The sequence below is a fragment of the Homo sapiens genome, chromosome 3 (assembly GCF_000001405.40).
Source record: "Homo sapiens chromosome 3, GRCh38.p14 Primary Assembly".
NCBI classification, from domain to species: domain Eukaryota; kingdom Metazoa; phylum Chordata; class Mammalia; order Primates; family Hominidae; genus Homo; species Homo sapiens.
The window spans coordinates 191,235,503-191,254,349 of NC_000003.12; the positions used below are offsets into that span (position 1 = coordinate 191,235,503).

At 36.5% G+C, this 18,847-nt stretch overlaps 1 protein-coding gene across 2 annotated transcripts in view; it reads left to right on the top strand.

Annotated features, from left to right (window-relative positions):
- OSTN (osteocrin) overlaps positions 1-18,847 on the top strand; it is a 66,375-nt gene that overhangs the window by 36,262 nt on the left and 11,266 nt on the right. For both annotated transcript variants that reach the window (NM_198184.2, XM_017006303.3), the window contains exon 4: positions 14,535-14,631. In NM_198184.2, coding sequence (NP_937827.1) covers positions 14,535-14,619 — 85 coding nt within the window. In that variant the 3' untranslated portion in view covers positions 14,620-14,631. The remainder of the gene's footprint in view (positions 1-14,534; positions 14,632-18,847) is intronic.

An 18,847-nucleotide genomic window follows, 5' to 3' on the forward strand; every position in this document is an offset into this window, starting at 1 on the left:
TTGTGCCCTCATGGCTTTGGTGAATGCTCAAAGCTGACTCATCTTGGAATGTTTCTGGGGGTCACATAACCCCCAGTGCGAATAGTAACATAGGCGTCCTTACCTCCAATAATACTCCTCTTCTGGCAGATCTGCTATGCCCCTCATCCTCACCCTACTCTCTCATCTTCTGCATTTGACACCACCATCAGCATCCTGATGAGTTTGCTTCCCCCATCAGCCCTGACAGAAAGCCCTTGGGGCAAGGTCCCTTTTATAATTGACCCAGGCTGACTCTCTCCACATGCTCTACATCTGCCCACAGAAAACCCACATCCTTGACTCTCATTACTGAAAGTGAAGCAGTTCTTGGTGCAGTCATCTCTTCAGTCTGGTATCAAGCCAATTCTCACAGCTTCTTGCCCTTTAGATTTCATAGACACTATTTTATTAGGTTCACCATGCTTCAATGGACATATTTTAAACTCGAAGTGTTTTTCTCAAAGCCCTTTCCCCATATGAAGGAGGAAGGAAAATGCCATTGTTTTTCAATAACTTGCTCCCAAGAAATTCTCCCTTCCTGAGCTATTCAATATGAATCCTTTTATTGGATTGAAGTTGGAAAAAACTAAGTTTGTAGCAACCTCCTTTGGAAGTACTACATAAGTCTAGCACCTCACTTTGGAATGCAAAACGAAATACTTCCCACATACTTTCTCTCTTTCTGTCTCTTTTTTACTCAGCCTTTTAAAGCCACAGCCAAAAACTGAGATAGAAAGCATCCCATTTTAATATTCTGGTACATTCTTTTTTAAAAATCTCTATCACACACTAAGAAGGAGGTATTGTTACCAGAAAGGGGTCCCGAACCAGACCCCAAGAGAGGGTTCTTGGATGTCACACAAGAAAGAATTTAAGGCAAGTCCACAGAGTAAAGTGAAAGCAATTTTATTACAGAAATGAAGAAACAAAAAAATGCCTACTCCATAGAGAGTAGGGCCCAAAAGCAAGAGGAGGAATGCGTCCATTTTAGGTATAATGCTTGTTTATATATAAGATAATAACGCAAAAAAAAAAACAATCCTTGGGGAGATGTGCGCTACTACAAGGGCTTGGGACAAAGGATTGTTAATCTTTGTATAACTACTGTCTTCCACAATAATTTATATTATTATCTTTAAAGTGAAACTTACTCTTAAACTAAGAATACTTTTGTTCTTAAGATATCGTGACATCAGGATATTTTCTGGACCTGCTAAGTCCTGGATCTCTTCCATAAACATTATTAACTTGTTTTCTTAACTGTAAACATCCTCTGACTAAAATGCCTGACCTTCTGGGAATGCAGTCCAGCAAGTCTTAGCCTCTTTTTACCCAGCCCCTATTCAAGATGGAGTCACTCTGGTTCAAATGCCTCTGACATTAGGATCCACATTTTATTATGTTTTCGGAGAGATAAAATGATTTCCCTGAGATTATGTTGATATAAATTACATGCCAGATTGTTTAACTCCAAGGCCGTGACTTTCCACTTAATTTCTTTGCAGAAAGTAGCTTTCTACAAAGCTGCTAGAGCAAGCAGGAGGGGAAAAATGGCAGGGAGGGCAGGCAGTGAGGCAGATGCTGACATTCTTGTGAGGCTCTGATTAGCCTAAGTAAATCTAGGTTTTACATGTGAAATGAGGATGTAGAGGCAAAAGTCAATTATGCGTTGCCTCAAGCGACTTTCTACAAAGAAATTAAAGTTCTGTGTGAATAAGATATTTGTCAAAGGCCAGGAACAGTGAGATTCACTTAGAATATATGCATTAAATGAATAGTTTTAGAATTACTGTATCCATGATATATGGATTTCTATCCTAACGGGACTGCAGCTATCTCAATTCTTGCCTCCTTAGAAGAAAGACTTTGACTGAGGGGCATAAAGCAGAAGAAGAAAGCTAGGCAAGTTTTAGAGTGGGGTGGAAGTTTATTAAAAAGCTTTAGAGCAGGAATGAAAAGTGAAGTACACTTGGAAGAAGGCCAAGCAGGCATCTTGGAGGTCAAGTGCCCCATTTGACCTTGGCCTTAGGGTATTATATGCTGGCCTGCTTCCAGCACCTGGCATCCTTCTTTCAGTGGAATGCCCCTAGAAGGTCATGTACCAGTTAAATGCCACCTTTTGACCTCTTAAAGCGCATGCTTGAGCAAACTCACCCAACACCTGAGATCTTATCAGGAAGATGCCAATCACCAGTTTCAGATATTTCTGATCTATAGAGAAACTGCCTTTCCCTGGTGCTGGCTGTGACCAATTATTATTTTAGAGAGGCAGTGTGACAAATGCCTGACCATCACCTATGGTCACCTGACTTTCCTGGTGGGATGTGGGGGCCCTCTTCTGCCCCGTTCCTGTTCATGCCCCAGTACAGCTCTATGCACTGTAACAACAGGTTCAGGCTAAAGTTGAGAATAGCAATGCCAGATTCAATTTGTCAGATATGATTGCCCTTCTTGACAAAAATCCCAAAGATTAAGGTAAAAAGTCTAACATTTTATTTTCTTTCTAATTTGTTGTGAAGAAATGCCACAGAACTGAGCCAATCGCGGCATCTCAAGGTTTATGCTTTTCTTTTTTAGCTCTTATTTGGTCATCTCCAGAGGACATAGTTGAAAATGAGCTCCATTTCAGGTGTGGGAAACACAAAAAAGGGATACAGTGTTAATCAAAATGTGACTGAGGCATTTCTCAATCAACAGAGGTATATTTGGCCAAAGTTGAAGATACTTGCGGGGAAAAAAATCCAAGTCACAGGAGCACCTGTGACCTGTGCTTTTTCCAAAGGGTGTTTTCAAGGGGAAAGAGCATGCAGGAGGGGGAAAAATGCAGAAAGGGCAGGCAGTGAGGCAGATGCTTCCATTCTTGTGAGGCTCTGATTAGCCTCAGTAAATCTACATTTTACATATGACAAGAGGAAGTAGAGGGAAAAGTCAATTATGCATTCTCTCATGCTCAGTAAATCTACAGTTTACATAAGATAAAGTAAACATGTGAAAAGAGGGAGTAGAGGAAACGAGGCTGTGATACAGCGTTGTGGAATTACAGCTATCAGTTTAGAAACAAAAGGAAGGCAGTAGTATTGACTCAGTTCCCGAACTTAACTTTCCCTTTGGGGTAGTGATTTGAGGAGATTCCATGTTCTTTCACAAGAGTGTGCCGCCCTTTTAAATGCTGCCTTCTTACACAGTGGGAAATGCCTTTGAGCATAATGATCTTGGGCCATTGTTGCCAGTGACTGTTCTTTACTGCAGTCCTCTTCTCAGCTCAGCTCAAGACCATAGGATGGGACAGTCCTTTTACCTTTTCTCCCAACCCAATTTATGTATGAAGCTTTAAAACTTTCTCCCAAAAGGGATAATACCTGATTCCATATATAGGCTTTGCAAAGTATATTACAGACCCTAACCCTCAAAAGAACATTCTACAGGATATTTTTGTATGAATACATTTGCTGAACAGAAGTTTTAAAAGTTTCATTCGCTTCTCAAGGTTCATGAGCCAAGTAAATGGAGATCCTCTCTGCCTTATACGATAAACTCTATATTACTGGTGAGGGTGTCCAGGTTCTCGGCGTCTTGAACAAAGAATTAAACAAAACGCACAAACAAAGCAAGGAAAGGATGAAACAAGGAAAGAATGAAGTGACAAATGCAGAAATTTATTGCAAATGAAAGTACACTCCATAGTGTGGGAGCGGGCCTGAGCAAAGGGGCCCAAGGGCCCTGTTATGGAATTTTGAGGGGTTTTAAATACCCTCTAGAGGATTCCATTGGTTACTTGGTGTATGCCCTGTGAAGGGATGAAATAAAGTTACAAAGTCACATACTGGGCATGCGCTATGGAGAGGATATTTTCTGTCATAGCTGAAATGTGAATCTGACTTATGTTCCCTGCCTCTAGACCCTATTTTCCTGCCTCATCTACAGCCATTTTCAAATTAAACATGCCAGTACAGTCACTTAAATCTCATTATGTGATTCCAGTACTCATGGTTTCTTTCTGAATGCCTGTCCATGTGGCTAATTCCTTGAGATAATACATCAGAAGCTGACATTATGCCTAATCAGCACCTTCATCATAAATTGAGCAGAATCTGTTGAAAAGTGAATTATCACTTTTGAGACAGAATCCTAGAAGTCAAAAGTAAACTTTCTGCTAAGTGAATTAGCACTTTCTTTTGTTATTCAAAACTACCCCATTTATTAAGTGGTAACCAATTGTTTCTGTCCTCTATGTGAAGGAACTCCTGTTAGGAAAAAAATTGGCTTTTGCCCAGCCTTTTATTCACTCCTTCCCAGGGAAGGAATGGCCACTTCTCTGATTGGTCAGTTTGGGAGGAGTAGTTGAGCCTGTTCAGGTTATCGGCTTGCTTCCTCTTTTTATTGGAAAACAATGACTAGTTATAAAAGTCTGTCTAATACAGGGAGAAAACAACAGGAAGCCCTGTGAAATTCAGATGTAAAGACACACTTTATGTTCAGCTTGATCAGCAATAAAAATGACATTTTGTTTACTATACATTGATCACTCATATTTTATTTCTCTACTGTTTCTGAATGTAGAATTGAGAAAAAAAGCCATTATGTTTTGGTTCCTTAAAACCATATCACCATTCAGATTTAATGTGCTCCTTCATCCTATCATTCTGGAATTTGAATTTAAATTTTAACATGGTTTTGTACACTTTGATTATTTTCCTTCTCATCCTTCACAGGTTCTTGCCAAGTCCTTCAGCTTGGTCTGTTCTCACATGTCAGTCCTTCCAAGGTTGTATATAGTGATATCTATCCTAATGTAAACATTTTAGTTTTGCATTTTAATTTTAAATTGCAGTAACCAAGATTGCAGGATTCATGGATGATCATTTATTTTTTCTACATGCTCCTTAAGTTTTTCCTAAGTTTTCTAAGTTTTTTCTAGAACCCCCAAATTGGGTGTGGTCTCTTCTCTCACGGAATCTCAGAGCACTGTGAATCTCATGGTATTAGATATCTATTGCTATGCAACAATTACCTAAAATTGACGACAATAAACATTTTTGTTCTCACACACTTTTTGTGCATCGGAAATCCAGGAAAAGCTTGACTCATTTTTTTCCAGCTCAGGGTCTCTCTCAAGGTTACAGTGAAAATGTTGGCCAGGGCTTCAGTTATCTGAAAGTTATACTGAGGCTGGAGTATTCACTTCCAAAATGGCCCACTCACTTGGCTGAAGGCAGGAAGTCTCTGTTCCTCACTGGCTGTTGGCGAGAGGCCTTAGCTCTTTGCCATGTAAACCTCTCTAAAGGGTTGTTAGCATGCACTTAGGAAATGGCAGCCAGCTGCCGCCGGAATAAGTGATCCAACAAAGTGAGGCAGAAGCTGCAATAGCTTTCATTACTTCCAACAGTGTCATTTCCACAATAGTCTATTGATTAGAGAAGTCAGCCCTATTCAATGTGGAAGGAGACTACATAATGGTAGAATTATTGGGTTCCACCTTGGAGCCTGGCTAGTACACTCATGTAAGGTTTATACTATAATAATTAACTTCCCTGTTTTACTAATCTAAATTACTGAACTATTTGAAAGAACATTCTTTTTTAGCTATTTCTGTTTTCTCTCATTTTGGATAGAACTCAAAGTTGGTGGAGCTCTGTGCCTTGACTTTTTTTTTTTTTTTTTTTTTTTTTTTTTGAGACGGAGCCTTGCTCTGTCGCCCAGGCTGGAGTGCAGTGGCGCGATCTCGGCTTACTGCAAGTTCCGCCTCCCGGGTTCACGCCATTCTCCTGGCTCAGCCTACCTACCGAGTAGATGGGAATACAGGCGCTCGCCAGCACGCCCGGCTAATTTTTTTTGTATTTTTAGTAGAGACGGGGTTTCACTATGTTAGCCAGGATGGTCTCGATCTCCTGACCTCGTGATCCACCCGCCTCGGCCTCCCAAAGCGCTGGGATTACAGGCGTGAGCCAACGCGCCTGGCCAGCTCTGTGCCTTTCTTAAAGGAGGACTAGCATTTTAGTGCCCCTTTAAGTTGTAGTAGTGAAATCAGACTATTGATTTTAAGGAACATTTTCCACACTCTGATTCCAAGTTTCTTTTCTTGGAACTCGAAACTATAAACAGGATCATTAAAAGTTATTGTATCCAACAAATGGAAGGAAAAAAAGTTTTAATGACACCCGAAACACCTATTAAGAACAATCAAACAACATCTAGACATGGAAATTTTCAACGAAGTGCTATTCTGTAACATAAGCCTTACAAGTTTTAAAGGCATGGTTATCATACAAAACATGTTCTCAAACTACAATGTGATTAAATAAATAACAGAAGGATAACCAAAAAGAAGGTGCAATTCTCAACTCATTTAATGAGAATAACATTATCTAAACACCAAAACCACATATGGAGAGAACAAGAAAAGAAAATTGTAGGACAGCCTCATTAATGACTACAGATAGAAAATTCCTACCAAAAAAAATAGCAAAACAAATAGCAATGTATTTAAAAAAAAATACCATTATCATGTTGTTTATCACAAAAATACAATATAAGCTTAATTTACTTTGAAAATCAATTAATGGAGTTAACAAATTGAAGATATAAATCACATCATCTCTATAGATTCAGAAAAAGCATTCAATAAAGCTAAACCCCCACCTATGATTGAAATCACTAGTAAATTAATAATAGAAGGAAACTTTTTTTAACCAAGTAAGGGACACCATTAAAAAATGCCTACAACATATATTCTTAAATGATGCCACTTACAACCACAAAAAGGTCTTTTGGAGAACATTTTAACAATTTATTTGAAGACATTAAAAACACTCTAAATAAATGATCTTGGATAGTAAGACTCAATATCATAAAGATTTCAATTCTTCCCTAAATGAATTATACCTGGATTCAATACAATTCTAGTCAAAGCAGCAATAGGATTTCTATAGAACTTGACGAGCTGAATCTAAAATTTCTGAATCATTAGGCATGAATATAGATTTTTTTAAAAAGAAACATGATTTTTTACTCACCCCATAAATACAAATTAAATTTTTTCTTGTTTATTTTGTTTTGTGACGGGGTCTCTTTATATTGCTCAATCTGATCGGAACTCCTGGACTCAAGGGATACTCCCTCCTCAATCTTCCAAGTAGCTGGTCGTACAGATATGAGCCACTGTGCCTTGCAAAAATTAATTTCAACGTATTAAAAACTGAAATGTAAAAGGCAAAACTACAAAAATATTTTATGACATAGGAGAATATCTTCATAATATTAGGGTAGAGGTGATTTATTACATGAGATGCAAAAATATTGATGTTTTAAAACCACATCAAAGATTTTTTAAAAAATCACAATAAAGAAGATGAATCACAGATGGGAGTAGATATTTGAAATTTATAACTCTCAAAGTCTAATATTCAGAGTATTCAAAGCCCTCCTACAGATAAATGTTTAAAAGAAAAAAAAAACATTAGAAAAACAGGCAGCAGATTCAAACAGGCACTTTCAAAAGAAGAAATCCAAGTGGCCAATAAACAAATGAAAAGCTGAGCAACATCATTAGTATTCAGGGAAAGTAAATTAAAACCACAGTGGGATATGATTACCAAAGCATTAGGCTGGCAAAATTAAAAATCCCACAATACAAGGATTAGCATAAATTTGAAATAATAGGAACTATCATACACTGCTCTTGAGTTCGTAAATTTGTACAATAACTTTGGAAAATAATATGACACTATGTAATAAAATTAAGTATAAGCATAGCTGTCAATTATACTACTGGGAATATATTGTAGAGGAATCCTTACTTGAACACCAAAGGCAGGTACAGCTGAACAGTACATAACAACAACAAGTAGAGGAAATACCTCAAATTTCCATCTACAGTAGGATGGATAAACAAATGGTTGTGTATTCACACAATGAAATATTATACAGCAGTAAAATAAAGGAACTACAGCTCCACATGTCATCTTGGAGAAATCTCAAAACACATAATATTTGCTGAAAGAAGTGGAGAAAAATTCATATATAATTTTTGTCCCAGCTTGATGGAGCTATGATTGACAATATAAATTGTATAAATTTAGGGTGTACAGTATGTTCTGATATATGTACACATTGTGAAATGATACCACACTCACATATCTATCACCTGACAGCTACCGTTTTTTGTTTTTTGTTTTGGTGAGAACACTTAAGATCTGCTCTTAGCAAATTTCAAGTATACATTATTATTAACATCATTAATAACACAATAATTAATATTTACATTATTTACATGTTAATATCAACATTATTAACTATAGTCACAATGCTGTACATTGTTCATCGTACTCAATTCCTTTTAAGTACAATTCTGGAACTATCAAGAAAACAACAGATTTTTGAAGAATACATATAGATTCTAAGATTATGAAGGAAATCAAGGGAATTATTAGACCAAAATTTAGTCTATGGATTACTCTGGGACTGAGCCATGAGACAGCTGCAGTTTGGGAGAAGGAATACCAGAATTTCTAAAGTAGTGGTAATGCTCTATTTCTTATGCTGGGGGCTGGGAATAGGGCTGTTCATTTTTACTCTCTTTAAATTGAGCATAGACAAATGTATAGGTTCTGTATGTGTGAAGTGATTCTCAATAAAAAGTTTAAAAACATTTTTCCACCTGCTGTTTTTTGGAATGTAAAATACCTTTAGAAATGGAGTTATCCAAGATTATAAATGTTAAAGAAAATCCTGTTTCACATAGGAAGTTTAGATTTTCGTGTGAAAATTAGTTTCATTTAAAATAAACAATCTAATCATTGTGATTGTATTAAATTGATAAATATTCTATATCCTTAATCTACTTTACTTACAGAATATTTCAGAATGGAAAACGTGGGTTGTTTTAAATGCATATATCATATAAGCCATGTCATACCATTATTTTGTCACAAGAGGGACTAGATAGTCAAAAAGTACAGCTTTCTCTTTTGGTTTCAAGATTATATTCTCTATCTAACATTAATTTTTCATACACTACATTCATGCCAGTAATGTGTTTTAGAATGTAGCACCATTATATATATATTATAAATATAATATAAATATATTTATATTTCATATATAATATATATATTTCATATCAACAAAAATGTTAACTACTAGCTTTCTGTTTCACTTCTGATGGATATAGATTGTATAGAAAGTATTTAACCAGGCTATTATGGTTTCTGATTATGTGCTTTATGAAAATTATTTTTATTTTGTATTAGTACTAAAAATTTTAAAATGAATTGATTTTTATATATATATTTGTTTTATTTATTTTTATTTGATGTCCAGATATCTATAAGCATTTGCAACCAATCCACAATTTGATAAGATGAATCAAAGTAATTATGAATTTGTTGCTAGGGTAAAACCATGAGTTACTATTTTATCCACTTGACCAGTAGTTTTCACTTAAACTCTGCTCTGAGGAACCTATGGTGTTTCTGGAAGGTCTGTCAGGGGCCACTATATATTGTGTAGGAGGGATACTTTTTTACTGGGACAATTCTTTACTTAACTTTTCAGATATTGCTCTCTTTTATAAAGCTTTTATCTATAGAAATAACTACAAATTGAAAACCACTGGACTAGACTGGTAGGAAAAATTAGTATCAGTTGAAATGTATGAAATGTTTTTACATGTGTTACCTGATTACCACTTTTCAATGTAAAATGTGAACCCTGAGAGGTAACCTTTGTCTTATTCACTGTAGTATCCCCAATGCACATAACAACACATAACACATGGTTAAGTCTGTGTAATACATGGTAATGCATGAAACAATCAAATATCACTTAACAAATAAGTTTGTTAAGTGAATAAACAGCTCCAGAAGATAGGCATAGCAATTATTATCTGAATTTTATCAAAAAGGAAAGAGTAGCTTAGAATAAAAGACTTGCAGAGGGTCATACTATCAGTAAGTAAATCAAGTAGAACACAAATCCTCCATCTCCTGGTTTCTAATACATTTTGGATCAAATCTGGGGGAAAGGAGGTGAGGAGAGAATGGGGAAAAAGGAAAGAAAGGAAGTAAAACAGAATTTATTTTGCTTTCCACTATACCGCAGCTGCCTCTTATTTGATTGAGCAGGGAAAGATCAACTGTAGTAAAGCAAAAAAGAAAAACACATTTTCACTTATTTACCTTCATTTTTGAGAAAATAAATTTTGGTAGGAGAGACCAAAGAATGTTCTGTTTTAATCATACGTATCTCGAAAAGAGTAAAAGAGGCCGGGCACAGTGGCTTACACCTGTAATCCCAGGACTTTGGGAGGCCGAGGCGGGTGGATCGCCTGAGGTCAGGAGTTCGAGACCAGCCTGGCCAACATAGTGAAACCCTGTCTCTACTAAACATACAAAAAATTAGCTGGGCGTGGTGGTGGGCGCCTGTAATCCCAGCTACTCCGGAGGCTGAGGCAGGAGAATTGCTTGAACCCGGGAGGCAAAGGTTGCCGTGAACTGAGATTGTGCCATTGCACTCCAGCCTGGGCAATAAGAGCAAAACTCTGTCTCAAAAAAAAAAAAAAAAAAAAAAAAAGAGTAAACGTATTATTTTTTCATGACATCATCTATTTCTAAAGGGAGTTTGGGGAATCAGTGCAGGTATCATGTGACTGCTTTCCCCAGCCGCTATTTCCTTCCCTTTCTTGTGAGTCCTTCAAACATCTGAGAGGGTTGGTTTTTCACTTCCTCTCATTCACGTTGTTGGCAGAACTCAGTTCCTTACAGTGGCAGGACCAAGATCCCCATTTGCTTTCAAGAACTAGTAGGCCGGGTGTGGTGGCTCACGCCAGTAATCCCAGAACTTTGGGAGGCCAAGGTGGGTGGATTGCCTGAGGTCAGGAGTTTGAGACCAGCCTGGCCAACATGATGAAACCCTGTCTCTGCTAAAAATACAAAAATTACCCAGGCATGGTGGCACGCACCTGTAATCCCAGCTACTCAAGAGGCTGAGGCAGGAGAATTGCTTGAGCCCAGGAGGCGAAGGTTGCAGAAGCTGAGATGGTGCCACTGCACTCCAGCCTGGGTGACAGAGCTAGACCCTGTATCAAAAAAAAAAAAAGAAAGAAAGAAAGAAAGAAAAGAAGAAGAGGAAGGGAAAGGTAAAGGGGAAGGGGAAGAGGAAGAAGAGGAAGAGGAGGATGAAAAGGAAGAAGAAGAGGAAGAAGAAGAAGAAGGAGGAGGAAGAGGAGAAGGAGGAGAAGGAGGAGAAGGAGGAGAAGAACTAGAGGCCACAGCATTCCTTGATTCATTATCTAAGCCTTGATTCATGGCTCCATTCAAAGCCAGCCATGGCGGTTAAATCCTTAGATTGCTGTTCTCTGACTCACTCTTAGTCAGTGATTAGCAACTTTTATAGACTGGTGACTAGATTGGCCCAACCAGATAACCCAGGATAATCTTTTCATCTCTAGGTCCTTAACCTTAATCCTGTCTGCAAAATGCATTTGCTATATAAAGTGACATATTTATAATTGCTGGAGATTATGAAGTGGACATCTCTGAGAAGTCATTATTCTGACTACCACGAGGAAAATAACTGCGTAATTAAGAATCTATATATTTACTTTATGTGGACAAAGATAATTTAAAATGTAAAGGAGACAGTTTTTCTTTTCTTTCAATAGTCATTATTTATAATTACACCAAAGACATAGAGCATGACTGATAGGCATGGTTTCTTATGACTCTAAACCATAAAATTTATATTAATTTTACAAATAACATGTTTCCTATTTGGTTATCAAGTTGAAAAATATGTAGTTAATTTTTCATCAAGAAATGTAGAAGTGCAAACAATAGAACACCACTTAAGAGGATATGTTTTTCAGGAATCTGAAGAAGGGAGGCAAGGGTGTAGCTAGAGTAAGGATAAGGATTAAATACTTTTTTCCTAGTTTTTTTCTCACCGAATTGATCAAATTTTTATCTAGGAGAAAAAAAAGATCACACATATAGTCGATACAGATAATAAGAGCCAACCTAGAAAGGAAGATGGACGTAAATCAGCAGAAAAGAAGGTTGAATAAGTTGAAATATGTAATATGGCCCTATTTCTGTAATATTGTTTGAGTATAAACACCGTATCAGGTTCCATGTCTATTTTTATTAGCCTTTTATACAACAGCACCAAGCACAGCATCTGGCACATAGAAGGTATTAAGTAAATATTAGTTGTCCTTAAATACATTATTTTAATTAGAACTTATCAATGTTTATAGATTTTTTCAATGTACAAGGTACAACAATAAAAATCTCTCATATTCTCCATACTTTCCCAGACTTTTTCTTCCCCCTGATCAGAGTCTCGCGTTGTCGCCCAGGTTTGAGGGCAGTGGTGCGATCTCGGCTCACTGCAAACTCAGCCTCCCAGGTTCAAGCGATTCTCATGCCTCAGACTCCCGAGTAGCTGGGATTACAGGAACACGCCACCATGCCCTGCTAATTTTTGTATTTTTAGTAGAGATGGGGTTTCACCATGTTGGCCAGGCTGATCTCAAACTCCAGACCTCAAGTGACCTGCCCACCTCAGCCTCCCAAAGCGCTGGGATTACAGGCATGAGCCACTGCGCCGGGCCTCCGAGACCTTTAATAAGTTATTTACTTCATAGTAATATCAGGAGCACCGATATGACTGTGTAGTCAAGGAAAAAAAATGACATAATTATTTTCCTCTACTATTTACGTTAAATCATCATCAATCTGAGAATAGTCAGTTATAGGTTTTTGAGGGAAAAGGCTATTTATGACTCATTTCTTCCACCCAAAACAGCCACAAAAAGAACCTTTCTACATATCAGGTACACAGTAAATTATAATAGAAAAAACAATTAGATCATAATAAGAAAAGCCTCGAGGGCATTGAGGTTTTCATTCATGTTTAGCGTTTAAATTAGTATAAAGTAATTATTGGTAAATAAGTATAGTTTAATAATATAATACTAGTAATTAGAAAAGAACTAAAGAAGCTATTGAAAATGTTCTGAAGCAAATATTTTCTTGACTGTTTAAACTGCTGAAAATTAAGTTGTCTTGTTAGATACTAAGTCCTACATCACTGAGCTTTTCAAGCAATGAAGTATATCATTATTGGTCAAAAAATTGAAGCAGGCCAGGCATGGTGGCTCATACCTTTAATCCCAGCAGTTCAGGACGCCAAGATGAAGGATCGCTTGTGCTCAGGAGTTTGAAATGAGCCTGGGCAAGATGGCGAGACTCCCATTTCTGCAAAGAATTCAAAAAAATTAATCAGACATGGTGGTACACACTTATAGTCCCAGCTACTTGGGAGGCTGAAGTGGGAAGATCACTTGAGCCCTGGAGGTTGAGGCTGCAGTAAGCCATGATCACACCATCGTACTCCAGCAGAAATCCTTACATTTGGTGGGAGAATAACCTTTTAAGTTTATCTCTCATTGCAAAAGTGTTTGTCTGCTGGCAATGTTCTGTTTCTTGGTCTGGGAATTTATTACACTTAAAATCTGTATATGTCTAATATTTTTATAATATGCCCTCCTTTCTGACCTCTTTTCTGCATGTATATTTTGTCAACAATAAGCCTCACAATTTTATAAGCCAGTTACCTTTTCTGTGAGATAAATCACTGATTTACATAGGCTTCTTAGACTCTCCCTGCTGTCTCTTTCTTCATAAAGATTCACACTTCTCTTAACTCCAAGGCCAGTGAAAGTTATACGATCAAAGCTCTGGATCCTCTCTTGTTAGGATTTTGGCTTGATAGAACTAAGTGATGATAATATTAGCAAATCAAATTGAAAAGTTTCTAAAATGCATCTTATTTTTAAAGGGGTAATTGATAGAAAATATAAGCTGGAAGTTATATTAGACCTTTGGTAGTACTGTGTGGACTTTTTATACTTCATTTTAATAATGAAGATGTTTAATTTATTTCAAACAGTATTTAACAAAGAGAATATAAGCAAATGTCGACCATCACATACAAAGCTTCTCTGGGTGGAGTCTAAGGGAAGACATGAGAGGTATATTTACCTCTACATTCAGTCTTAGCATCATACTCTTTCCTCTCCCACCATCATCCTTCTTTAGATGAGCCATTCTGAAGCAAAGTTTGTGAAAAACTACTTATCCAGTTTAATATTCACAAAATAACAGAAAAATAAAATTTGAAGGGGGACGGGATTTTCTCAAACTAAAGCACTTAGTTGGCAGATTCGTATGCTGATAAGACCTGGCTTTTGGTTTGGTCTATTTGAATTTGAATAAGTTAACTTCTCTAAGCCTCAGTTTCCTCATATGTAAAATGGAGCTAATAATATCTACTCCCACAGATGTTGAAAATATGAGATAGTGTCTGGCACATAGTGAGTACTGGTGAGTGGGAACTATCATGTTTATTCCAACTCCCAAAGAAAGCCCCCAGAGCTACATAAAATAAAGAACAAAAATAATGATCAATAACTTGCCCTTTAGTTTAAAAATGTCCTCCTTGGTTTGTTTCAGGAAAGTAGTAGATCATCCAAAAAGGCGATTTGGTATCCCCATGGATCGGATTGGTAGAAACCGGCTTTCAAATTCCAGAGGCTAATTGATTCCAATTGTGAGTACAATTTGAATAAGTAACAGTATATGCAGGTATTTGATTAATATTTCACAATGGACTAATCAATCCATTCTTGCTTATAAATCCCCCTTTTGATTTCCTAGCTTATCAGTTCACTTTTTCAATCATTTATGTATGCAATGAGTATAGTATATTAATGTTAAATAACTTAAATGATATTTAAAAAGCAAAAGAATGTCCTAGTTCTGCTTCACTCTCCAAAATTAATGATTTAGTTGTTTTCAGACTTCTATGTAATTAACCATTGAATATTAATATGCACACAAGGGTTAAAGTTCTAGTCAATATATTAAATCACCTCCATAAATATATAAAAATCCTTGCGTTATGAAGAAGACACATTCAAGTGATACACATCATTTTGTTGTCAATAAGTACGTTATTAGAATTATGATAATGTGGAGCATAGGGGAGAAAATGCACAGCAGAAAGAGCATTAGCCATGGAATCAAAACACTTTATCCAAATCCTGATTCTTTCATTCATTCATTATCTTGTTTCTGTTAAGATAGTTTATTTTTCTACAGCTTGTACATTTAAATAATAATGTAGTGGTATTCTGAAGATTACATTAGATGTTTGTAGTGGGCCTACAATATATTGGATACACAATACATGCAAGTGATAGTTTACATTACAGTTCTGAAAATTTACTCTGTTCCAGGCCTTATACTTGGCACTTTATGTGCATTGCTTCACTTAATCATTTTATTTCATAAAGCAATACTATCACTATCTCCAATATCTTGAGAATTATTGATGTATAAGGGTTAAAGGTGCCAGCTAAAGAGATCAGGCCTTATGGGTTCAAATCCCAGGTCATCTATCAATATTTGCTAGCTATGGGAACTTATTTAAATTCTCAAACACTCCTTCATTAAATTAGAATAATAATTTCTACCATATAGCATTGTCCTGAGGATTAAATAGATACATATTAAGCACTTATAATAGTACCTGAGATGTTAATTTATTAATAAGTATTAGTTAATATTATCATTATACAAATAAATGGAAAGCTTAGAAATATTAACTTACAGTGCCACATAGAGTATAAGTGGTACACATAGAATTAAAATCCAGAAAGGTTACATCCTGAGTGGGTATGTTAAACACAGCATTTAATCATACATATCCTTTAAACACTAAATAAATGTTTTTTGAAGGTGAAATCTTAGCAATATGTTTTCTTCCAATAGGACTTATAGAAGGTGCATGCCCGCTCCCTAACAAATAAGACAAACTGGAACTGCTTTAACAATCTGAGGCTAGAGCAGAGGGAATTTTGCCTTCTGCTTCTCTCGAGATAATCCTTAGACCAATAATTTAGAGGCCCCAAAAGTATCATATTAGCCCTGATCTTGTCTTAATTTAAATCATCCCATTTTTTCCCTCCTCCTCATGCTCTAAAACCACAATAAATAGTCAGTATTTTTTCTCAACTCTCTCGTTCTCAAAATCACTCAGTTAAAATAAATTTCATTATCATGGAGTTGTTTAATGAACCTCTGCAGTTAATGAATGTCTATAGATACAAGAGAACTTACTGAATACTGCCAAGAACACTGCCTTTTAATCAGCATCATCTTCAAAACAGGTTGAACATTATTTCTTCGTATCTAGAGATATACCAAGTATGGTCACTCTTCAAGGTTGTTAAAAATTGCCACATTATATTTGAGTAGAAACTAGCTAATTGCTGTTTAAAAACCAAGTAACTCTTTGAGTCCTCCAGTTTCTTGATGTTCTGAGAACATTATGACAGTGAGATAAAATTAATTAACTTTGATTGGTTTCCACATATACCTTTACCACCCTTGATTATCACCCATTTCAACATTTTTTAGTTCAACCACAACGAGTTATGTTAAACAAATTATACAGAGAACTCATTTTCATATGATTTTTTTTTGGTTTTTTTGAGACGGAGTCTCACTCTTTTATCAGGCTGAAGTGCAGTTGCGTGATCTCGGCTCACTGCAACCTCTGCCTCCCGGGTTCAAGCAATTCTCCTGCCTCAGCCTCCCAAGCATCTGGGACTACAGGCGTGCGCCACCACGCCCAGTTACTTTTTTAAAAATATATTTTTAGTAGATATGGGGTTTCACCATGTTGGCCAGGATGGTCTCGATCTCCTGACCTTGTGATTCTCCTGCCTCGGCCTCCCAAAGTGCTGGGATTACAGGAGTGAGCCACTGGGCTCAGCCTTGAATTTTTATATGAAGACTGAGACCATAGAAATTTCAGCAACTACCAAACTATGAAGACAATTGAATTAATACAATGCTTCCTGAATCACTGTTGGGTGAAATCCAAATTTGTATGTTGTGTCCTTCTCTTAGCAAACTTTGTTAAGCATCTTGATAATCACTGTTCTTATATTAAAATCTCAAGGTGAGAATATCACAAAAGAATCGATTTAGAAAAGAATTTATCATATATTTGCTCTTTCCCGTTCATCAGTCATTGTGGGTTCACCTGTTCGACCGTTTTGTTTCTATTTATTTTCCATCACTGTCACCAAGATTTCTCTCAGACATTTGTTTACTTCCTCATGTGAAGTTTCATGTTATGTAGTTTATGAATAACAAAAGACATGAGATGATAATATATTTCTAATTTCCAATCTAATTTTCAAAGTTACTTTTTATATTTTTATCTACTGTCAACAATATTCCTTTGAATTAAACAGGGGATGTATCATTTAACAGAGAGCAGCTTAAAAGTCATTAAATACTGTTCACACAGTAATACAGCTGAGAGGTTCAAAAACATAAAGTTTCATTTAATCCAACCCCATTTTTTAAAACAATTCAGGAAAATGGAGCTGCAAGAGGAAATTGTCCCAAATTTTATAGACTCTTGGGCAGAGCAAAATCTGGGGTCCGGGTCTTTGGACTTATAGGCCAACATTCTCTTCGTGACCCAAAAGGCCTTCTTGGTGCTAAGTTTTCATTGTTGGATGCTAAATTCATTGGTTATACATTTCTAAGACGAACAGAAATGGTATCTCGCACTTTACAAAAATCTTTGTTTCACTTCTGTGCAGGTTGATGGATTTACTTTTGGAGCAGGTTTATTTGTGGGTTTTCATCTTCCGGGTTTCACTTTAACACTTCCTATTAAAAGTAAAACTGCTATCTAATTATGGAAGTTTTGCTTCATTCGAGGTGAAGTCTGGAACAGCTGCTCTATGATGCCTACTATAGGGGCCAAATGCCCGCTGAGGTTTTGCTAACAGTCACTGACATGAGGCAGATGGATACATACGAGAAAAGTCACACAAATTTATTTAACATTTATACCTGGGAGGCTTAAGGATGAAGACCTCAACTTTCCAGGGGGTATAGATGCTTATATAACATCTTAAGGTTACAGAAAGAATGCAGACTCAGCATGACCACAACCAGGTTTTAATAATAGTTTCAAGACAGGCTATGGGAGAGAGAATGGAAGAGGCTTGGCTAGCAAAGGTGGATTTGTTATGTAGATGAAACCTCATTGGCAGCAGCCCTCAGAGAATTTAGATGGTGAATGTTTATTTTCAGTAGTTTAAAGGTACCAAACTCTCAGCTAATCTTTCCTAGATCTGGACAAGGGAAGGGCTGGTTGCATTAATGCAAATTCTCTACAGATCTACAGATGCAAATTTCCCCCACAGAAGACACATTTTCAGGATCACTTCAGAATATGTTAAAGAAATATATTTTGGAGTAAAATACTTTTTATTTACTTCAATCCCCACTTTGAAACTTAAAAAGCGTTTCACATATTAAAAGCCAAACTAACAGCTTTGGAGAGATTTGGATTAGAGGTTGTTAGATAGAAATAGACAAAAGATGGAAAGACAAATTGGGATAAACAGAAAAAAGTAAATTTAAATATATTATCTCAAGTCTTGTTTAGTCAGTCTCTTAGTCCTGAGAATAGATCAGTTCAGTTAAATAGCTGTGTCCCATTCCAGAAGGTGGCATGGGAGTTGGACTAGGCCTCTATATGTGATGCAGATAAACAGATCTTTAATAAGAAGTATTTCTAAGGAAATAGAAAAAAACAAGGGTTAAACAGAGGTTAAAAACTGTCTAGAGCAGTCTATAGACTAGTTTTTCTAGAGTCTCTGAAGCATCTTCAGAATGCAATGGCAATATGCCAGATTATTCTGAATTGTGTTACAAAATAGGGTTTCAAGTGA